Source organism: Homo sapiens, chromosome 14, assembly GCF_000001405.40.
Source record: "Homo sapiens chromosome 14, GRCh38.p14 Primary Assembly".
NCBI lineage: Eukaryota > Metazoa > Chordata > Mammalia > Primates > Hominidae > Homo > Homo sapiens.
Genome location: NC_000014.9, coordinates 94,172,781 through 94,197,119, shown reverse-complemented (window position 1 = coordinate 94,197,119; position 24,339 = coordinate 94,172,781). Strand labels below are relative to the sequence as shown.

Sequence of the window (24,339 nt, the reverse complement as noted above, 5' to 3'; positions counted from 1 at the left end):
CAGGAGAGAAACAGAACCGAGAAACCTCACAAAGTAAGGTATCCTAATTCGAACACTATACAAAACAACAAAAAAGGGAGCTCTAGAGCCCTGAAATTAGAAAAGCTATCCTGAACCACACCTCCTAAGGTTTATGAAAACTAATTTCACATAAAAATGAAAAATAAGGATCATGATTAAATTACACGGATAGTTAATTTTTAAAGAGAGAATAAGGAGCAGACTAATATTCCCAAAGACCATGAAAGACATACGCAAACTACAGGTAACTATAACCTACTATTTCTCCACAAGCAAAGAAATTTTTAATGTGTAAGATATGAAAAAACACATGAATCGTAATTATGAAAACTCAGAAATGAAGTGATAGAACTCAGGAAAGAATTAGAAGAAAATATTTCAAAAAAGACTAAACTAGAAAGAAGAAAAAGATGAATAAACACAATAATACTTCAAGAGAAATAAAAGGTGAAAAGAAGAAAAATTTTTAAATAAAAAAGATTTGAGGCCAGGCACAGTGGCTCATGCCTGTAATCCCAGCACTTTGGGAGGCCGACGCAGGCAGATCACCTGAGGTCAGGAGTTCAAGACCAGCTTGACCAACATGGTGAAACCCCGTCTCTACTAAAAATACAAAAATTAGCTGGGTGTGGTGGCAAACATCTGTAATCCCAGCCACTTGGGAGGCTGAGGCAGGAGGAATCACTTGAACCTGGCGGGTGGAGGTTGCAGTGAGCCAAGATTGTGCCACTGCACTCCAGCCTGGACGACAGAATGAAATTCTGTCTCCAAAAAAAAAAAAAAAAAAAACCTTTGAAAGAAAGTAATACAGGCTTGAGAGAAAGTAATATATAAGATAGACAAAGAAGATCTAACAACTTTCAATAGGAGTTCCTGAAGAAGAAAACCAAAACCAAAGCAAGGGAAGGAATTTTTTTTAAGTCAAAAAAAAAAAAAAAGATTCAAAAGCACATACCACAAACCTGAGAAAATCAATCCAATATAACCAATACTGAGATTTACTGTTGAATCTTAAAGAAAAAGAAAAATCCTTTGGGCATCCAAGCAAAATAAGCAAGTTACTTAGGAACAAAAAGAAAAGCAAATTATCATTAGACTTTCACAGCAATAAGATACAAGGAAAGCAAATAATACTAGTCTATAGGGTGATATTGCTCACTATAAATAGGACATGAAAAAACATAAAAAGAAATATAAATTTTGTAAAATTATAAAAAATTATAATCACCATAATCTTTAATTTCTATAATTAATTTATATCTGGCCCTTTTCCTACCCAGGGAGAAAAACTGATACATTATGGGTAGTACATTGGGTATTATGAGTTTGAAGGAAAAGAAACTGGGTTAGCTAGTGGTTCTCAACCAGGAGTGATCTCCCCCTTCCCCTCCCCTCTACTCATGGTCTAGGGACATTTTTTTTTAATCATCATTTAGGAAATACTACTGTAATCTAGTAGGTAGAAGCCAGAGATGACACTAAACATCCTACAATGCACAAGACAGCTGCCTACAACAAAGAATGTCAATATCTCAACAAAATATGTCTAAGAAATCCTGGTTTAGACAAAGCAAATATTAGTTGAGCCACATGAAACCACCAACATTAATTACTGGCCACAGTTCAACATATATGTTGAGCTTAGCAGAAATATATTAAGTCAGTGACATCAAGAAAATGTATACAGGTTGGTAACTACAACATGCTAGAGCAGCGGTTCTCAAACTTCAGCATGTGTCGGAATCCACTTGTACAGGGCTTGTTAAAACTGGGTCCCACCCCCAGAGATTCTGGTTCAGTTGGTCTTGTTTAGGCCTGGGAACTTGATTTCTAAGAAGTTTCTAAGAAGTTTCCAGGTGATACTACTGGGGATCACACAGTGAGAGTCACTATGGTAGAAGGACAGTCAAAAACAAAAAAGAGGAAAAGGAGACTGCAGAATCTTAACATTTTTTAGATGTGAGTGAAATGAGCCAAGTGCACAGTAGCAGTTTGCCCAAATGAAGCGGAAGGTCCATCTGACAGTAGACTGCATATGTTCACAACTTCTGTTAGTCCTGGCTACTGGGCTCCTCATAATGATGTTAAAAGTAATATGGAAAAAAAATAGCAGAGATGGAATAACATGTAAGTCTACTTAAATGTACATTAGAGAAAAGTATAAGGAGTTTGTGAAAAGGTTGTGTATCAGACAAAAGGGTCACTGACTAGACTTGGCTTGCATTAAAATGGGAGTTCTTAACTTGCATGCCTGGGAATTTCTTGGGGCTGTGAACATGTTGTTTTGTTCTGCTGACTTTAGTCATAATCAGTATAAATAAACCAAGTATTGCCCGGTGTGGGGTACTGCGCCTATAGTCCCAGCTAGTCAAGAGACTAAGAGAGGAAGATCACTCCAGCTCAGGCCCAGGCATTCAAGTCCAGCCTGACCAGCACAGCCAGACTCTATCTCTTAAGAAAAAAACAAACAAAAGAAAACAAAAAAAACAAGTATGTGTGGATCTATGCTACCATCACTGACTAGAAGAAACCCAAAAAAATGGCATACAGGATTTCACTTTCTTGCTGCTTTATAGCACACATGTAATTTTTAAATATTTGATCAACATTATTCTTTTTGTTTCAAAGTAAGCTTCCCAGCTTCCCAGATTTTAAAATCTACAACTTCCTATTGAAAAGCCGGCACAGGAAACAATCATCATGGTTACAACTTGAGCTGCTCCTTTTTGCCCCAGTTGTGCTATTCTTTGGGACATGCTCCTTTTCTAGGATACTTACTCAGAAACAAAATGAACACAAGCCCACTCAACAAACCATTCCTCTAAAACTAAAAAGAATTGGGTTAATCATCTAATCTGTACACTAGTGGCTAAAAAGGAAAGCTGAAAAAAACAAGACTAGTTAAATAAATGAATTTAGGACACCTATCTTTTAAACTCTAAATTAATGTTACTAATTATTTTATCCCTACTGGGAGATGCACCTATTTTAGAGCCATTTATAGTAAAATCTTATGCCAATGAAAAACAAGTCAATCCACTGAAGTATTCTTAGATACAATAAGTTTTATAGTCTTTCTTGTTGTCCCAGCTTCTGCCATTGTCATGGTAAACTTTTTCATTCAGGTGAGTGACCAACAGCTGGTTTCTGATTTCCTGTAATCCAAGGATGTTTTACCCAAATGTGACATTCCCCAATGCCTAGCAAAGCAGCACACGGTAAAGGCTTCATAAATATTTGTTAAAATGAATTCATCTTCACTTCATATCAGCAACCCATTCCTTTTGTCAAAGGCTGGATATTATCTGGAAATATTCCATCTCTAGAATCTCAAGCTGTGATCTCACTTATTGGCCATTAACTCTTATTTTTCTACTTTTCTATTGCTAAGCCTACATTTCACCCTCATCACATTTCTAACCTATTAACCTTCTTATTCTCCAGTACCTAACATTCTTCCTAGTTTCACTTTCCTCCTTGCCAGCCTGAACCTCCCTATTATTTCAATTAGATTCTCGCCAATAACCTTACTTTAATAACCTCCTTCTAATCACAACAAAATAAAAATAGCATCTAATATACTATAAGCCAGGCATTGTGCTAATAAATAAGCACCTTACTTGCACTCATCTTATTTAATTATCATACTAATTTTATAAGGTAGGTAGATATTATTATTATCCCATGTTGTAGATGGGGAAATTAGAGCTTAGAGAAATTAAGGTACTTGCCTAAAGTTATGCAGCCTGTACTACTCCAAAACTCATACCAACCACTATACTACACTGACTCCTGTCCAAACTGTGCATCCAGACAATACCAAACACATCTATCAGCTTTTCCTATCCCACTCCTGCTCCTAAGCTATGCAGCACTGCTAGAGAAAACTGTGTAACTTTGCTGCTTAATGCTTTTAAAAAACATATGGTTAAAAAAAAAAGTTTGTCCTCAATGATCAATGATGCTAGACAAAAACACAAAATGATAACCAATTTGTTGCAATCAAGAAAGGAACCAGAAATTCTTAGTTTACGATATTGCCTAAAGCATTTTCAGAAACATCTTTGATCTCTCAAAATGAGGCTACCTGTGCTAGTTTATGAAATCCTTGCCCTCCTCCACGAAGAATAAGCCACATGTTAGAATAAATCCAGGTACTAACAATATTATCTTCATCTATTCTTGTACCTTGCTCCTACCTCTAAGAACTTAAAATCTAATAAGGAAGATAGATTCACACACTAAAAATTTTGACTACATAGCACAAAGTCCTCTTTTCCTAGCCTGGACACCCTCATAATTTGTTTAATCCTAAACCACTTAGACAAGAGAGAGGAGATGAGCAGATGCTATCCAAAAATGATGACGTGACATAATCAGTCAGTACTATATCTGAGAACTCCAGCTTTGCTACTGTTCAACTATGTGCAGGATATCAAATGTTTGTAGTTATAGAGAGCCAGTGATCCTACTCCTAGCAGCTCTCACTTAAAATCCAAAATATAACTCATAAGCTGCTGATACTGTGCTTGAATTTATAACAATAAAGCAGATGCCACAAAGCCTTGCTTTGAGTTCACAATAAAAACTAAACTTTACATAGTTGATAGTTAATTATTTCCTTACTCAAATTAAATTATTAAACAGTTTGTTTTAATGAATAGAACAAAATAAATTAAATGATTACCTTAGAGAATTAACCTTCCAAGAAAGACAAAACCTTCTTGTAAGGCAAAGATGACTGATAGAGGGACACAAGAAGCTTAAGCAGAAGATATTGAATACCAATCCCTAACATCAGTAATTTTTCAAATATAGCATATTTCCATATGTTAGTCCTGTAAAATGAAATTCTTAATAATGTTAAATCTTTAAAACATTGCCTTAAAAGGTTTATGTAGAAAACCATTCAAACCTGATTATAGTCTTCATGCTTAAGACCATAGAGAAACAAATAATATTTTTTAGTAGGACCAAAGAAAGAGTAACAGAAAAGTTAACATTTAAGGGCCTACTATGTGCTATACAAGGCACTTTACATACATAATCACATTAATCATCACAATATATGAGCGGTATATTTCTATCCTTACTGATGCTCAGGAAAAAAAATGGGATTCACCCAAAGTCATGTGACTAGTAAAGATTAGAGCTAGTATTCCAACCTATGATTTCTCAGTCCATAGCCTATAGCCATCATACCATCTCAGGTCATAGTCCCATCATAAGAACTGGCTGAAATGACAGCCTAAAAGGATTTCTAAGTTGATAATTTTGTAAGAGTTATGTTCATGATTTAATATTTATGTTACAATAAGGTATTTTACTAATAAAGTCCACTATGTATCCTTTATTATCAATGCCATGTCAAAACAGTATACGAAAGTTTCATGTTCCTTGCGAAGAGATAAACTCCTCTTTAGCTTAAACCTTTATCATCAATGATATAGAGAACACTGCCTTTTGAGTGGCTCTTCAACAATTTATACAGCAAGATAGGAGGAATAAGTTCTGCTGTTCTGTACCAGTGTAAGGTGAATACGATTAACAACAATTTAGTGTATATTTTCAAATAGCTAGAAGAGAGAATTCTGAATGTTCACAACACAAAGGAATGATAAATGTTCAAGGTGATGAATGCTAACTACTCTGATTTGATCATTACACACTGCATACATGTATTGAAATATGCTCTGTATCCCATAAATACATACAATTACTACATGTCAACTTAAACGAAAAAATAAAGGCTCAAAATTTGCCTGAAAAAAACAGATGAGCTTATTTTTCCCCTCCCTCTTTATACCAACGAGGGTACAAACAGCCCTCTGATTCCTTAGGATACAGTTTAGAATTATTTCAACCTTCCCTTTCTCCTCACACCCCACAGCACATTTCAAAACAGTATAACAAGATGTGTATGACTCCCAATTGTTCTGGAGTGAAAAGAACTTATTAAGGTGCAAGTACACCTGTGGCATTAATAAATCCTTGGTTTTTTGTATTGTTTATCTTGGATTTGTTCCATATTATACTGCAATACAAAGATTACATTTGATATTAACTTTGATATGTTTTATTGTATTATACATGGAAGAATAATTGTTAAATTTTAGTTTCAGTTATCTATATTAATACACATGCACACAAACGTGTCTGTATATGTAGGGTCACAGTTTGAAATGTATTCCTTACATGATAAGGTCATAGTAAAAAAAAAAAAAAAGTTGGAAATCACTGCTCTACAGTATTTTGCATAGAGTAAAAGGGAATATTATCAAAGTCTGTCCTAAATATATGAGCTATAGCAGGAATATTGAAAGGTATGCAAAACATTAGTTCAGGAATAACTACATAAACTTGGAAGAGTTCTGGGAACATTGTAAGCTCCCTCCTGTTAATTTTTTTAACCAGCCTTTCTATTTCCTCATTAACAAATAGCAGTAAAAATTCCTTTAAAATACTTTCTATTTTATTTATTTATTTATTTATGTTTTTGAGACAGAGTCTCCCTGCATCGCCCAGGCTTAAGTGCAATGACACAATCTTGGCTCACTGCAACCTCTGCCTCCCGGGGTCAAGCAATTCTCCTGCCTCAGCCTCCTGAGTAGCTGGGGCTACAGGCACACACCACCACACCTGGCTAATTTTTTAGTAAAGACAGGGTTTCACTATATTGGCCAGGCTGGTCTCAAACTCCTGACCTCAAGTGATCCACCCACCTCTGCCTCCCAGAGTGCCAGGATTACAGGCGTGAGCCACCATCCCAGCCTAAAATACTTTTTAAAAATATATAGATATGTTAAGACATAGCAGGGGAAAAGGGCTAGCTAAGATAACATACTGCCAACCCAGCCAGTAAGACAAACTCAGAAAACAGAATAGTAGCCGACAGTTATTAAAAATAAACAAACAAACAAACCAGGTGTGGTGGCACACTGCCTGTAATCCCAGCTACTAGAGAGGCTAAGTCAGGAAGATTGCTTGAGGCCAGGAGTTTGAGACCAGCTGGGCAATATAGCAAGACCCTATCTCAAAAAAAAAAAAAAAGATAAAAGCAAGCCAAATCCCTGGCACCTACAGGAAGAAGGGGTGACAAGTATTACAGGAAGGAGAAGAGACCCAATTAACTAACCTAAATAGGTAAAGTGACATGTTCAATCATTCAGGAACTGCTGGGTGCCAGGCACTGGTTCTGGATTCTCCAACACAATCCAATAATGCTTTATGCCTAGCACAGAATGTGTCAGACAATAAAGACTGTCAAGAGTACTGAGAGAAAAAGAGTATAAAATTACTCCCAGGTTTCCCTCCAGTATGATATAGAAAGATGGTCAGGCTTCAATAACAAGCAGAGGCATATTTAGATAAAAAGTGATAAATGCAGTTTCGAGCACATTGAGTTTGAAAAGCCAGCAAGACATTCTGGTGGAGACACCCTGGTGGAGGTGCCCAGCAAACAGAAATGATCCAAAGTTGAGAAGGAAAGGCCAAGGCTACAGCCACATTTGGAAATCATGCCATGGAAATGATGACTGAAATCCAGAGTGTATAATCTGACCCAGAAAGAGAGTCCCAAATAATATACAGTGGCTCCTGTCTGTTCATTTGACTGATTATCACTGTAAATGGGGCACTGAATCAGAAGAAATGTAATACAAACAAATCAATTATAATATTTAAAAACTCATCAGTCAATCCAAAATCAATCTGTAAAAGCTACGTGAAATAATTATTTCTGTTCTCTAATAATAAGGACAGGATAAGATAGAATACAATGAAATGTTCAAACTAAAAGGGGGTCTTGGAAATAAAATACATCTCCTTCACATTGTGACAATGAAGAAACCAACATCTACAGAGATTATGGAACTTAGGTCAACCAGCTAGTTACTATCAGGGTCAAAATGTCATCTCCACAAAGCAAGAGCAAATTTTTAAAAACTATTGATCCTATAATCTCTCTCATGGGTTCCTAAATAACTATTCATTTAAATAAATTTTACATATGTATATTTTCTTCTCTAAGAGAAAAAAAGTCAATTTTCTCCCTGATTTCTCTTATGGTAATTGTTTTAGACATACTTATCATTCAACAATATATGAATTATCAGTCCTCTAGTTATTCTAAAATAATTTTTTGAGTTTTATTGAGGCATAACTGACAAAAATGCTGCATATTCAAGATATACAATGTGATGGGATTTTTTAACCCTTTTTAATTGTAAATTGAGAAAAAATAAATTATGTATTTACAGGCTACAAAGTGATTATGATATTTTGCTATATGTATACATTGTAAAATGATTACTACAGTAAAGCTAATCAACATGTCCATCACCTCACATACTGACTTTTTGTGGTGAGAATACTTAAGATCTACTCTCTTAGCAAATTTCAACTATACAAATGTCTAAGGAAATATAATTATTAATTACAACATATGTAATTCAACAGCAAATAATTTAGGTACTATATCAAGATATAAATGTTTATATAAGTGTGTGTGTGTGTATACACACATATATATATATTAGGCAAGATAGACATATCCCTGTCAAGATTTCAATATGTTGTCCAAAGACTAGGTCCATATGCTATTTATGTAGTAATAATGAAGAAACTAAGCAGTGTAACAGAATACAAGGCATTTTGATTGTAGGGTCATCTTCATAAAATACAATCAAAATAAGACATTATAAGAAAACTGAAGATTAATCCTCTCATTAATATAAATGACAAAATCCTCCACAAAATATTAGCAAATAGAGTCTAGAAACATATAAAAAGACTAATACATAATGAACAGGTAGGATTTATTCCAAGAATGAGAGGTTGGTTCATCATTCAAAAATTAATCAACGTACTTCACTATACTAAAAGACAAAATAAGAAAAGCCATATACCATATCAATAGATACAGAAAAAAAATTCTACAAGATTCAATACCCGTTCATGATAAAACTTAGCAAATTAGGAATAGAGGAAACTTAACCTAATGGTATCTATAAAAAAAAGTACCACCACATTATATATAGTTAATGGTAAGAGACAGAATGCTTTCTCCTAAGATGAGGAAAGGCTGCAAGTCATCTCTCACCACTCCCACAGTGGAGAAACCTGGCAGGTATTTCCTTAACTGAATGACCTAAATTAACATAACTGATGATAAATCCACGGTGATAGCATGAACCCCCTGATATGATGAAATAAGAAAGGCATTTCACCACCATGGTACTCTTCCTAAAAGCACATAACCCCAATCTAATGATGAGAAATAACATCACACAAACCCAACTTGAGGGACAGTCTATGAAATACCTGACCAGTATTCTTCAAAACTATCAAGATCATGAAAAATAAGGAAAAGTGAAGAAAGCGTCACAGCCAAGAGAAGACTAAGGAGACATGACAACTAAATACAATGCAGTTTCCTGGAGTTGATCTTGAAACAGAAAAAAAAAAAAGTGAAAAAACTAGTGAAATCCAAATAAAGTCTGAAGTTTAGTTTGGAGTGATGTATCAATGTTAATTTCTGAATTTTTGAAAGATGTACCATGATTATGTATTAATAACATGTTAGCATTAGGGGACACTGGTGGAAGATATATAGGAACTTTCTATACTAACTTTGCAATGTTTGTGAAAATTTAAAATTATTCTGAAATTTAAAAAATTAATTAAAAGGACAGAAAAAGATATACTTTGTAAATGCTAGCCAAAAGAAAGTTGGAATGAATATGTGAATATTAAAGTAGATTTCAGAACAACATATTTTTTTTCTTTTTTTTCCGAGACAGAGTCTTGCTCTGTCATCCAGGCTGGAGTACAGTGGCGCGATCTTGGCTCACTGCAACCTCTGCCTCCGGGGCAATTCTCTTGCCTCAGCCTCCCGAGTAGCTGGGATTACAGGTGCCCACCAACACACCCAGGTAATTTTTGTATTTTTAGTAGAGACAGGGTTTCACCATGTTGGCCAGGCTGGTCTCAAACTCCTGCCTTGTGATCTGCCCACCTCGGACTCCCAAAGTGCTGGGATTGCAGGTGTGAGCCACCACGCTCGGCCTAACAAAGTATATTTCAAAGAATAAACATTACATAATGATAAAGGGGTCAATTCAAGAAAACATAATAATCCTAATTTTATGTGCATTTCACCACACAGTTTCAAAATACTAAACTACTAGTAAAAAATTATATATTTTAAAGGAGGACTAGACAAACCTGCAATTACAGTTGGAGACTTCAATACTCTCTGTAATCAATAGAACAAATCATAAACACAATGAAATAACACTACACACCACTAGAATGACTTAAAATTAAAAAGACTGATCATATCAAGTGTTATAGAGTATAAGGAGCAACTCAAACGCTCATATACTGCTGGTGGAAATGTAAAATGGTACCATCACCTTAGAAACAGTTTAGCAGTTTCTTAAAGGTATAAACATATATTTACTATATGGTCCAGCAATTCGATGTTTACCAGAGAGGAAGGAAAGCACATGTCTACATAAAGATTTATAAATGAATGTGTATAGTCACTAAGTTTGTAATAGCTGAAAACTGAAAATTACCCAAATGTCCATCAACTGATGAATGGATAAACAAGATGTGTTATACCCATTAAACGGAATCATTATCAATAATAAAAAGCAGTAAATTAACGATATAGGCAACATCAAAGATAATCTACAAAATAATTAGATTGAAAGAAGCCAGACAAAAGAGTAGACTGTATGATCCATTTCTATAAAATTCTAGAAATTGGAAACTAATTTATAGTAACGGAAAGCACATCAGTGGTTGCCTGGAATGGAAGGGGCTCACGGGAGGGAGAGAGAGATAATCTAAGCACACAAGTAGTGTTTGGGAGTGACGGATATGTTCAATATCTGAATCGTGTATACATATGTCAAAAATCATTAAATTACATGGTTTAAATACATGTGATTTATTGGATGTGAATTATACCTCAAAAAGCTTCAAAAAATGAAAAAAATATATAGTCAGCATATGACCCAACAAACATTCTTAGGCATTTATCCAAGAGATATAAAAAACTATGGCTAGATTCCAGAACAGGCAAAATTATTCCACAGTGACAAAAAGCAGATTAATGGTTGCTTAGGGTTAGGGTGTGGCATTAACTGCAAAGAGATACCAGTGGCTTTTGTGGGGGTGATGAAAATGTTCTATATTTTGTGCTAGTTACACAGGTGTACCCATTTGTCAAAACTCATCAAACTATAAACTTAGTTTATTTAAATTATACTTCAATAAAGTTATTTTCCAAAAATGGAGATGGGGGAATTTGGTGCCCAATCTAGAAAACTGATCTAGAGAGGAAACTTTGTAACACAAGAAGTTTCTAAATGGGATGTTTCCAAATGGGATGTTTCCTATATATCCAAAGTAAAATATGTTCCTAATCCCAAACAGATGATTTAAAAGGGCAGCAACAACTATCCTTTACTGAACACTACCCTGTACCAAGCACTGTGCCCTATACATACATTTCCTCTCATCTTCTCAACAATCCTGCAATGAAGATATTATTATTTTCATTTTATTTTTTTTGTTTGTTTTGAGACAGGGTCTCACACTGTTGCCCAGGCTGGAGTTCAGTGGCACACTCGTGGCTTCCTGCAGGCTCAAACTCCTGAGCGCAAGCGATCCTCCCACCTCAGCCTCCCAGGTAGCCAAAAAACAGGCACAAGCCACCATTCCTGGATAATTTCTTAAATTTTTTTGTAGAGACAGGGTCTCGCTATATTGCCCAGGCTAGTCTCGAATTCCTGGGCTCAACTGATCTTCCTGCCTTGACCTCTCAAACTGCTGGGATTACAAGTGTGAAAGCCACTATGCCCAGCCTATTTATTCCCATTTTACATTAGGGAACTTGGGCTCACAGAAGATAAGCAACTTACCCAAGGTCTCTCAGTAAGTAAATGAGCAAGCCTCAGCCTCCAAGAATAAATCTGGGTCTGTCTTAAACTATTTCCAATACAACACACTGACTCCCAGTACCTGTTAATTGGGGATAACCTCTATTCTACTGAAATTTAAGAAAAATGCATTTGCTTCCTTAAACTATCTCCTTGAATACAAGTATCTGCTAGTATAATGACCTTCATTCCCCAGGAGATGCCTAGCACATAAGTACTCAGATATATGTTTTAACTTAAATTAATAAGATACTGTAAAGCAACTATTAGTTGCATTACAAATCTTTTCCATTATTAACATTTCTGATTGGAGGGAAAATTACATTCTAAGGGTATAATAGATTTTGTAATTATTACTAACATGATTACCATATACCAATATTATACCAGTATAAGGATAAGCCAAAAGTGATGACTATGAAGAACCCTAAACACTTTCTCTATGCTTTCCACATTTGATAGCCAACATAGTCAATGAAAGACACTATAATACCCAAAATATCAAACTGAAAGACGTACAGATTTAAAAGTTCATTGGACCTTATTCAGTGCTTTAATTCCCTTCATGCAATCTTAATTTTAAGAAGGAAGACAGGCCTGGTGACTCATACCTATAATCCCAGCACCTTGCGGGGTTGAGGCAGGTGGATCACTTGAGGCCAGGAGTTCAAGACAAGACTGGGCAATAGAGCAAGACCCCTAACTCTACAAAAAAAACTTAATTAGCTAGGCATGGTGGCTAGTGCCTGTAGTCTCAGCTACTCAGGAGGTTGAGGCAGGAGGAACACTTGAGCCCAGAAGTTCAAGGTTATTGTGAGCTGTGATCGCACCACTGCACTCCAGCCTGGGAACAGAGCAAGACCGTGTCTCAAAAAAAAAAGAAAGCTATGAATTTTACCACTTGGTATGGTGAGCCCTCTAATTCTTAATGTCAATACTAAGAAACTACTGCACAATTCAACATTACAAGACTGGGAACCAAGCAGTACAACTCCCACTTTTTACTGGGAACTAATTAGTTATAATTTATGATAGAACTCAATCTTCCTATGTCCCTGTGTCTCACTTAGCTACTTCTCAAGAGGGAGCGTTGGGATGAATTAATTGCTCATGAAAATAAACATATACACACACATGCATATACATTTATGATATACATATGTTATAATATGATTACATTGATAGTTACATAACTTGACACATTATTCAAATATGTATACTCATTTATTTTATATTGCTTTATATATTATCTTATTTTATAGATTAATTTTAATGTATTTTATTATTCTATATTATGAAATTATTTTGTACTACAGAATTGTATAGGCTTTTTTAAAGTAATAAAACACTATGCTTACAAGATGAAAACTTTGCTCAATTCTCTCACATCACATTATGTTATTACGCTTTCAGAGGTCTTTTCAATGACATTATATGGGTCACTTTTACATTGATGAAAATATTTCACTTTTTATTTTCAAGCTTTTCCTATAGATCCCATGAGAGCATTCTGCTTTCTACAGATGTCACAAAGAAACCTTTCTGAGTGTTTGGTAAGTAGGAAAAAAGACACAGATGCCTCCCATGGTTGTTCTCATAACAAAAGACAAGGAAACAGAGATGGGAAACAATCTCCAAACCCTTTATATTCACAGACCTCGTACTTTTCCAAAACAGGGAATTCAAGGTTTGCCAAAGACTTCAGTAATTTGGCCTTAGCAATAATGGAAGGTATACAGCTGGAATCCATTATATACTGCTCTTAATATATTAAACAGTGATCCCTCTGTCCTAAAAAATACAAATGAAGATGCCTGCAATTTCCATGTAGAAAGGCAAGTCATTTGTACATCATCTTCACAGAGGATGACAACGTGGGCAATTTTTTTAATGAGGACCTCTTAGAATCATTAAAAGCACAGGGACTGAGAATAGCACTCCCATAAGCAGGTAGACTCCAATATCCACTTTGTTTCTCTTTTTCTAAGAAAAACTAATCACACAACATGCCTCATCTCCTAAGAGACAATCTAATAACTGAGAGTCTTCTAACCAACAGTGTAGCCAAGTAAAACCTTATAGAACTCCCCTTCTTGTAGGGAAAGAAAAAAAGTTAGATGGTGTAAGTCATGCACAGAGAAACGAAACATCTAAAGGCTATTAACTAGGAAGTTCATTATTGATATGCTAGAAATTATGTACTAGAAGTTTGTCACTTTTGTTTCCTAAAAATATATAGGCTGGGACCACTCAGACACTGCTGGCAGAAGTACAAACTGGTCAAAGCACACTGGAAAACTGTTTAGCAATATCTTTTAAGCTGGACATAGGCATATGCTATGACCAACAATTCGGCTTCTATAATGATACCTAAAAGAAATGCACACATGTATTCACCAAGAGACTTGTACATGAATGATTATAACAGCATTATTCATAAAAGCCCCAAACTGAAAACTAAGCCAAATGTCCATCAGCAGTGGAATGAATAAATTGTGGTATATTCACATAATGGAATAGTATACAGCAATGAGAATGAACAATCTGTTGCTCCATGCAACAATATGGATAAATCTCTTTTTTAAAATATTGAGCAAAAGCAGCTATACACAAAAGGTACACAGAGTGCTTCCTACTATATAAAGTGCAAAATCAGGTAAATCAATGTATAGTGTTAGAAGTCAGTAGAGTAGCTACCCTTTGCAGGAAGTACAGGGCACTGGGACAGGAATACAAAGGAAGCTACTAAGCTAACATGATAATGTTCTATGCTTTAATCTGGATACTGGGTACATGGGTGTGTTCACTTGTGAAAATTCAACAAGCTGTATTATGATTTGTGCACATTTCTGCATACATTCAAAGTTCGCGTTAAAAAATAAAATATAAGCTTATGAAAGTACTTCTTTAACTGATATTCCAAATTCATTACTTTTTTAAATCTATAAAGGCAAACAAAGAACAAACCAGACCATGGGAACAAATACAACAGAGAGACAGGAGAGGAATATCAAGAATGAAGCAAGATCATCACAGAGCACACTTGGAAAGGAGATGGTATGTATCTCTCTCAAACAAAGGTGTTTGAGATGTGACAAGATGTTAAAAGACCTGATTAAGCAATACTCTCTACTCCCTTGCAACTGCAAGCTGAAAGCTCGTCGCTAATAGGCTACTCTCTGGAAAGCCCACAGAATTCCACTCTCACTAATTGAGTTGTAATTAAGAGTCAGCTAAGTATGTTCTCAAACTAGTTTATTTCAAATTTCACTTGCTGTTGCAATTACATAATTTAATTAAATATTACCTAAATATATGAACACATATATTTGTTTCTATCAAATTAAGTTAAAAGTTTTAGAAAAACTAAATTCAATAAACATAAGTTGTCAAAGAAAATTGCTACTAAAGTATGGAAGAACAAAACTTTTAAAACACAAGTAGAAAATCATAAAAACCTAGAACCATGCTTTCAGACTGCTTCATAAGCAAATTTAAATTCTTGTTCAACTTTAAAGAAAACTGAACTTGATATTGTAAATGCATTATGGGGTGATTTATGAAAGAAGGAGAATTTCAAACTTTAATCAGCAGACCCATACTCAAAGAAAAGATCATGACTTCACATCAAAAGATTGGCAAATGAAAATATATTTATAGTTTACATTAAAATTTGATGTTGAAAATATGTAACATTTGTGATTTTATGATTCTAGCCAATTGTTTGTATTAACTAACCAACTATCTATCTTAATTGTGAAGAATGCAAAAGTCCTCTCCTGTGTATCACTAAAGAAAACTGAGCAAGCAATACTGGTCACTCAAGACCACCTATATACACATATACACATGCATGCACAACACAAATGTGATCTCTCTCTCTTCCTCTCTCTTTCTCTCTCTCACACACACACATACACACACACACAAACCATGCCTCACTAAAACAATACTGAAAGGAAGCAAGCATCAAAAACAGAAATCAAGACAATAATGAAAGTAAATGTGGGGACACACGTCATAAAAAGGAGGGCATTCAAAGGAGTTTTTCACACAACTTTCCACTTTGGGATAGCAAATAAGATAGGTATTTTAAAAGAAAAACAACCAAAAGCTAGGTGAGTAGCAAAGCTTTAATCACTGGAGTTCTTCCTTACTGTCTCATTGCTACCCTATCCTAGTCTTGAACCCAAGAAGAAGTACGCCAGAGTTCTCACATGGTACAACACTTGTTTATTTCCACTGATTTGACTGCAGAAATCTCACTCTTTCATATCACTAGGGGGAGCACTTACTCTTTAAAAAATAGGAAGAGAAAGTTAAAAAAAAAAGTTCCAAATAAAGATGCACTTTATGATCGGGGGCAGTGGCTGTGGAGGTGGTGTGTGCCTTCTGTAGTCCCAGCTATTCAGAAAGCTGAGGTGGGAGGATCATTTTAGCCCAGGAGTTAGAGCACTGTGACCGTGCCTGTGAATAGCCACTGCACTCCAGCCTGGGAAACACAGTGAGACCCTGTCTTTAAAAAAGAAAAAAGAAAAAAAAAAAAAAAAAAGCAAAGCTCTTTATCTGACTGCCCTGGGAAAGCAAAGTTCAAAATGCTTTAAAAGTCACAGCACAAAGTGAAAAATATTTTTAAAGTCACAAGTGACTTTAAAAGTAAGCAACATAAAAGCTAGTCTCAGTACATTAACCAATCAATACATTTAATGCATAATAGCAAATATTACTTAGGGTCATTTGGTAAGAAAATATAAATCAACAGGCTGACCTTACTATTACTCAGTTAAAAATGCTTAATTATGATTTGTGAAGATTCTAATTTCTGATAAATACTATTAGCAAACGAAGTTAATGGATATCTATCACAAACTTCAGTTGGTATACTTTGTCCGTTTATTAAATTATTGGAAGGCAAAATTAATACCATTATCCTCTTTTAAAGTTTTAAATGTAACTTGAGCACCTAAGTAGCAAGGAAGTAGGGAAAGGGAAAAGGAGACAGAAGGGAATTAACAGTAACGGGATGCCTATTATGTGCCAGGTGCTTCAACCACACTGGGAAAAGGGAATGATTATTTCCACTTTACAAATGAAAAGCAGGGCTCGAAAACCATAACTAACTTCACCACTGTCACATAGATAATAAATTGTGGAACAAGATATGACTCATAATACCTAAAATCAAAAATATCAGAAGTTCCTTAATTCATCTGGCAGTATGGTCATCTTAAATACTCTTTATTCCATTAAGAGGCATATATTTATATCACAGCGAAGAACAAGAAAGAACAACAACAAGAAAGCTTGCCCTTGTCCTCTAAAAGCTTGTCCTCCAGGACCTTACAATCTACTGAAGAAAACATGCACACACAGTTAAGGAATGTAAATCAGTGATTAATGGCCAATTGAAGAAAGCGCCACTAAGTGATAACGGAGCTCAAAGAAGCCTGGGATCCATGTGGTTTAAGCAGTTAGAGAAGACTTTATGAAAGATGTAAGATTACAGCTGGATCCTAGAGATGGTGTATGTTGGATAAGGATATATTGAAAGAGTACTCCAGGATGAGGAAAAGCAAAAATTAAGGATAAACACAATGAAACTGAGTAACAGTGAAAAGGCCAGCATGACTGAATCAAAAAGTGAAGAATTAAGTGGAAACAACCCAATATCCATCAACTGATGAATGGCTAAACAAAAGCGCTATATCCATACAGTAGAATACTACACTGCAATAAAAAGGAATAAACTACTGATAGCTGCTACAACATGGGTGAACCTTGAACACCTTATGCTAAGTGAAAGAAGTCAGTCACAAAAGGCCATATACTGTATGATTCCGTGTTTAGGAATCTCCAGAATAGGCAAATCCATAGATACAGAAAGCAGAATAGTGGTTCCCAAAGGCTGAGAGGGTTGGTACTGAGGAGCAACTGCTAATAGTACAAGGTTTCTTTTGGGGGTGATGGAAATGTTCTAAAATTGATTGCAGTGATGGTTGCACAATTCTGTGAATATACTAAAACTCACTTAACTGTACAGTTTAAATGGGTGAACTACAAGGACTATGAATTATATCTCAGTAAAGCCATTTTTAAAAGTGAGGGACTGGTGGGACATCACATTGCACAGCTAAGATAGAGTCACCTATGGAGTATTCTGAATGCCAGCCTTCAGGGTCTACACTTTATCTGGTAGACAATCAGAAATATACAAGTAAAGATTTACCTAATGAAAGCACAGTATACATACTTAGGATTCTTCTATAATAAAATCACTCACATGTTTTAAGTACATTCCAAAAATATACGCAAAATCACAAAGAAGAGAAAAAACAGGAAAAAGATAAGATATGATTTTGACTAAGACACAAGCTGTGACTATTAGGAAAGTTGTTTTGCTTCAGTGCTAAATGCCACAGATGGGTATATCAGTATCGCACGTATGCAAAACCACAAATTCATCTGTGTCAAATCTTTGAAGACTGTAATATTCTAAACTTAATTGTGAAAATGTCATTAATAACTGACATGTCATATTTCAGGGTAAGACAATGAACAGTATAATTTGTTTTTTATCGATGACAGTACTCTATATATAAAATGCTTTTTTCAGATACTGGATTCAATCTAAATGCTATCAGAACCCCACTAATATAAAGCATTGCTTACTGATGCTTACACATCTGACTTTGAATTCTAATTTAACATAATACTCCAAAATAGTTTCAATACACAAAATAAAAGAACTAAAGAAACAAACCTGACACATAAAAGCAGAGAGAAAATATATATATAACATGTTATATATTATACATTTATATAATATTCAATGCAGAGGAAAAGGTAAAGTGCTCAAAAATAAACCTGAAAATCAATGACAGACGGAAAAAAGGACTCAGCAAAGTACAAACTAGAAAAAAAGGAATAAATTACATCTACAATAGCAGGCTCAATACATGAGAGAAGATGAGAAGGCCTAAACAGAGGCAAAGTTCAGAACATCTCTATGAAACAATCCTGTCCCCTCCCCTGAATCCCAGGGAAGAAAGACCCTTTCAGGCATTCTTGGCATCATCCCTCCCAAAGCTGGACTAAGGTGAAATCCCACATTCCCCCAGGAGGTGGTAAGATGGTAGGGATACAAAAGAAGAACTCAGTTGGAGAATCCATACATAACCAAACCAGTGTTCCCCTTGTGAGTCACCTTGCAAACCTCCTTCAAGGTAGGTGAGCCACAAGAAACTAAAGGAGATATTGAATCTCTTTTAAAATTCTCTTGTCCAAGAATGAGAGGGCCCATCTGTCTCTTTAAGGGCTTTGTAAATTCCAGAACTGAGCGAAACTGATGTTGAGTCTGAGAAATAAAGACAACTCAGACAACCTAGTTTGCTAACAAACAATAAAAGCAAAATAGAAAACAAATAAGCTTTCCTTAAAAAGAAGCCTTATCACTGATATTTAGAATACGGTGTCTTCTATCACAAGTAAATAGAGCAAGACTCTCCATTTCCTAATTCTAAGCCAGTGTTTATACTAAAGAAAAGAATTCAGTAGGAATAAACAGGAGTTTATTTCAAATCATTAACTGTTGTAGATTAAAACACATTTGTCCACACTTTCATCAATTTTCTACCTACTTTGAGTAAAAGAACTGTGGGAAAAGGCAAATGTTGACATCTATTGTTCATCATAATAAACATGTTAATTGTTAAGGAATAAAGTATTCCAAATATAACACAATATGAAAATGGGTTAAAAGTTGGATTATTCTCTAAGTAAACACCCAAAACACATACCGTTGAATTCACACATAAATAGAAGTTTTCTTTGAAGTAAATAGAAATGATGAGAGCATGCTACCACAGATACCCCAAAGAGGGGGGAAAATAACATCAACATAAAGTCTAAGATGCAGAAACATTTCTAAATGATACAATTATCAGAGGGAATGGTCTACATGGTAAATATGCTGATATTCTGACTAAAGTTACAACAGAAACTCATGATGCCACTTTTAGAAGGCTAAAAAAGTAATTAAGAAAATTGAAGACCTGGAGAGGGATTTTTTTTTTTTACAGAATCATTCAATGAGTAACATGGGACTGGAACATGATCTGTAAACAAGAAAGGAGAACGAGAAACTTGCCAGTACCTGAAACTGGCGCTGAACTAAGGAAACAAGGGTGACAAATATCCTAGGAGGTAAATTACATCAGTTTTCAAAACCTGATTCTGGAAAAAAAAAGAGTGACTAATTTGCCAAAAGGGAAAAATATGTTGTGTAAGCTAATGAACAATTTTAAATAAACGCAAAATGCTGTAGGAAATTTGTTTCTAAAGGATTTTAATCAATTAATTAAAACATCATTCATGTTCACTGTATTAGTTTTTAAGATGCTCAATCTACAAGACAATGTTTTAAATAGTTCAGAAAAATCTTGTAAATATTTGCAATAACCATTTGCCTTAAGCAATTCTGTAGAGCCTGTGAGATGGTTTGAAATTGAAATGACAGTAGGCTCGACCAAATTTCTAAAACCCCTCAGACAAAATCATAAAGCTTGCACGGCAAAAGTAATACAAACAGGATATCCTGAACAGCAAAATGAACTACCATATTTGTGGATTTTTTTCCGTATAGTAGATCCCGTATAATGTTCCTACTCTACAATGAACTTAAAACTAATCACTGTATACTCAAGTCTCATGTAAACTTACTGAATCTTACGCGAGAAAAACCAAAGCCAGAAAAGAAAAAAAGGATGAGGTTCAACTCCAACCATCTGCTCTTGCTCCTCCAAGCAACATTCTATAAATTAGGTATTTTATTTAAATTCTCAAAGTCATAAGTCCATAGCCAAATCTAATTTATAATATAGTTAAGTACTATGCACACAAAAGTACTCTGTTCAAGTGGCTAAGTAAATCTGAACATAACGCGAACATACATTTTAGAAAGCATTCATCTCTGCTGCACAGGGAAAAAAGAAGAGCAATTTCACAGAAAGACTAGGAAATACCTGAGCAGATAAACAGCCCTTTCAATATCACTGAGGTCTTCATCGACTGTCAATCTTTCTATTTCTTCCGGTGTCTGTCAAGGGTAAAATACACATTTATGCACCACAAATATTGGTTCAGTCTTGCCCCCCAACCTCCCAGTGACCCTCTATGAGGATAAACGAATGAAAAAGTTTCACAATTAAGCATTAACAATGAAAACTAATCAAGGAGCTGAGGATACCAGGCGACATCAATCACGGAGGTCTCTAATTGGGTGGTTTGGGGAGTTTGGGGAGGGGGCTGTATTTTTCTGTTTTTATCCTTCTAGCTCCTGGACTGCAGCTTGAAAATCACATCGTGGCTTCAGAACCTTGGCTGAAATCCATTTCATACGCATGTTATAAAACGAATACACACACTTTTTATCTCTAATACTTCAAGGCTATTTCTCCAGCATTTTCCACCCCAAGAAATGCTAAAAGGGAGATGGATGAAGACTGCAGCCGAGTAGGCATGAAAAGGACAAGATCTGGAGTGGGGGAGGGAAGGAAATAAACTCCGGGGCTGGAAAAAAACCAGAGATTTGAGATATTGCGGCAGGTGGGAGTGAGAGGCGCTAAGGCAGCTAATTAAGCAATGGCCAGGGGAAAGGGGTCCGGTCCGTAAACTAGGTTTGCTGGCGCTAAAGGTTGGAGCCGCCGGGAGGAAGATGACTCTGCGGGGTGGGAGAGCCAGTAGGGGTGGGGGGAGCAAGCTGAAGCTTGACCCCCTCAAGGGGATTGGGGAGCTGGGTCCCAGCTACAGTCCTGGAGGGGATGGGAGGAAAGGATGAGCGGTGACTCAGGATGGCGGCAAAGGGTCGCGAGGGCTTGTAGACAGGGACCAGGACGACACTGAGAAAGAGTGCTGGCTGGGAAGCGAGGGGAGGCCGGGCTACCTCGAGGGCAGAAGGACCCGAGCTTGATCTGACTTGGGCTGGGGGTGAGGGGACGGGACGCGGGGTGGTGTCTCCGGGAGAGGTGGGGGGAGGAGTTGGGAATGTGTGGACCGATGGGTGGGCCTGGGGCCAGAACCCGGGCGGCGTCAGCGGACCAGAGGTTGGGGAGCCCAGGAGAGGACCGGGGAGAAGTGGGCTGCGGCCTCGAGGGGCAGCTCCTTTGGGGGGGGGGGGCGGAAGGAAGGGGGTCCGCGACGGAGGACGCTGGGGCTGCCCCGAGGGCTGGAGCTCGGCCGTTCCTGGGGGTGGGCCGGGGGGATTCGGACGCCTCAGGAGGGGCAAGGGCCGCGGGGCTGGCGCCGGTCCGGGGCTGGGGCAGGGACCCGTCCCTTGGGGATGGGGGTCCAGACTAGAGAGGACCCGGTCCGCTCTGAGGAAGGGTCCGAGAGGGAACTGGCTTAGGGCGACACGGCAAGAGGGGTGGAGGAGGAGGGGCCGGCCCGACTGAGAGGGTCCCGGCGGCCCGGAGGAGGGGAGGGTGGTGGCGTGGGGCAGAGATCAGCGCGGGACCGCGCGGGGCAGGCGGCCGGACGCCGTGAGGGCAGGTCCTCTCCCCGGGGCGCACCTTGAGGCTCCGGCGGACCGGCCTCTCGATGATGGTGAGCTCCTGCAGGTCCTCCATGTAACCGAACAGGCTGTTCTGACTGAAATCCATCGCGGCGGCGGGCGGCGGCGGATGCATGGACCGCCGGGCACTCTCGCCGCCCGGGCCGGAGCGGCCCCGGGATGCCGGACGCCCTCAGCCCCGCGGCCGCCCACCAGCAGGACTTTCTCCGGCTCTTGGCCGCTGGAGCCGAGCGTGAGGCTGCCAGGCGGCGGGAGCAAGAGCACGGCCCGGCGAGGGGGCGGGGCGGGCCCGGCGAGGAGGCGGGGCGAGGCTCGCGGGCGGGCTGCGGGGGCGGGGCCAGGGGCGGGGGCCCGCCACCTTGCCCGCCTCGGCCCCGCCCCTTCCCGGGCGCCGCGCGCAAGAGGCCGGACGCAACTGCCGCGCAACGACCCGGCGGCCCCGCCACCCTTCTGCGCCCGCTCCTCGCCGTTCTCCTAAACCCCCGTCCGCCCCCAACCAAGTGTGCCCCACCCCACAGCGCGTGCGCAGAGCCTTTTGCCTCCCGCAGCCGGCTGAGGGCGGGCGCTGGGGGCGGGCGCTGGGGAGGGGGGCTGGGGGGCGGGGGCTGGGGGGCGGGGAGGCTGAGCCAATGAGAGCGGAAGCAGAGGAGAGGGAGCTGGCTGGGCTGCGGCTGTACCTGCTGACTTAACTGTCCAGTTATTCCCAGGACCGCCCACCCCAGCTGGCGGGCCGTGAACCCAGAGACCCCCCCCAGCACAACTCCAGCCCTGAGGGGAGCGCTGAGTGCCCAAAATAAGCAGTTAGGACGCGGGGTGCCCGGCTGACGGGGGAGGGGGCTGTGGGAATACAGCCCTGGAGGGGCTGGCTTTTGGTCAAGGGCAGCATTCGGAAAAGGCCTCCCAGAGAAGAGTCACTTAAACTGAATCTTAGCGACCGATAAGGCTTTCCCAAGAGAAATAATAAAAGCAAGCCGGTCCGGGGTTGAAGCCTGGGTGTGTTTGGTTGTGTTTGAAAAGTGCCGTCGAAGTACAGCTCGGGGCTCGGGCACCGAGGGCGTGGCGAGGTGGGTGGAAGGAAGAGGACCTAGGTCCTTGATGAAGAAAAGCCCTGCTCTGGACAGCCACGCTGAGTCCCTTGCACTTGGTTCTGTTAAGAATGGGACGAGATGGAAGGGGGATTGGGGCGATTTTTTTGGACCTTGGGGACAAGTTCGTACTGTTCAGCTCGTCAGTCAGCAAGGCCCTTTTCTTTTTTGTTTTTATTTTTTACTCGTTCCTTCTCCACACCCATTCTTCTACCCGCCATATGCACCCTCTCCTCTATTAAGGTATGTCCCAGTTCATGCACCGTATACAGCCTCAAAAGATACATGGTTTGTGTCTGTTTTTAACATATATGAACGGCATTGTGATGAGAACTCATTCTGTTCCTTGTTTTTCTCTCAGTGTCTTAGAGATCTATCCATGTGACACTATACAACAAGAGTTCATTAATAATGACTAATAATAATATTTGATTTGTGTGTCTATCATATTCTACTTATCAATTCCTCAAATAACGGCTAGTTAGGTCGCCAGCAGTTCCTTACTACCACAGACCATGCTGGAATGGATGTTAGACGTGTCCCTTACAGAACATAAGAAATTGAGTCGCTGGGTCATGAAGTCCACAGTGTTTGGTTTCACTCTGTCATGTTGGCCTCCAGATGGCTTTGCCATTCACACCCACCAATGGCACATGAAGGTAGGAAGGTACCCGTTTCCCATTTTATATGCTAACATTTGGTATTATCCGATGTC

At 38.4% G+C, this 24,339-nt stretch overlaps 1 protein-coding gene across 8 annotated transcripts in view, besides 1 other annotated feature; it reads right to left on the bottom strand.

Moving 5' to 3' along the window:
• The window catches only part of PPP4R4 (protein phosphatase 4 regulatory subunit 4), a 105,413-nt gene extending 82,615 nt beyond the window's left edge, over window positions 1–22,798 (bottom strand). For 6 of the 8 annotated variants that reach the window (NR_145441.2, NM_001348144.2, NM_001348143.2 and 3 more), the window contains exons 1-2: window positions 22,538–22,798; window positions 20,993–21,066 (exon numbers count right to left, since the gene is read on the bottom strand). Coding sequence is in view for 3 of the 8 variants with exons in the window: in NM_058237.2 (NP_478144.1) it covers window positions 20,993–21,066; window positions 22,538–22,654 (191 nt within the window). In the remaining 5 variants the exon portion in view is untranslated. Of the gene's footprint in view, window positions 1–20,992; window positions 21,067–21,392; window positions 21,660–21,912; window positions 22,068–22,537 lie in introns of those variants that run through there. The other 2 variants (XM_024449672.2, NM_001348142.2) reach the window with 2 other exon arrangements.
• Window positions 23,002–23,564: an enhancer, noted in NCBI's record as "H3K27ac-H3K4me1 hESC enhancer chr14:94639893-94640455 (GRCh37/hg19 assembly coordinates)". NCBI's record gives its function as "activates a minimal SCP1, AML or CMV promoter by ChIP-STARR-seq in primed H9 embryonic stem cells {active_cell/tissue: H9 hESC(primed)}" and the evidence as "EXISTENCE:reporter gene assay evidence [ECO:0000049][PMID:30033119]".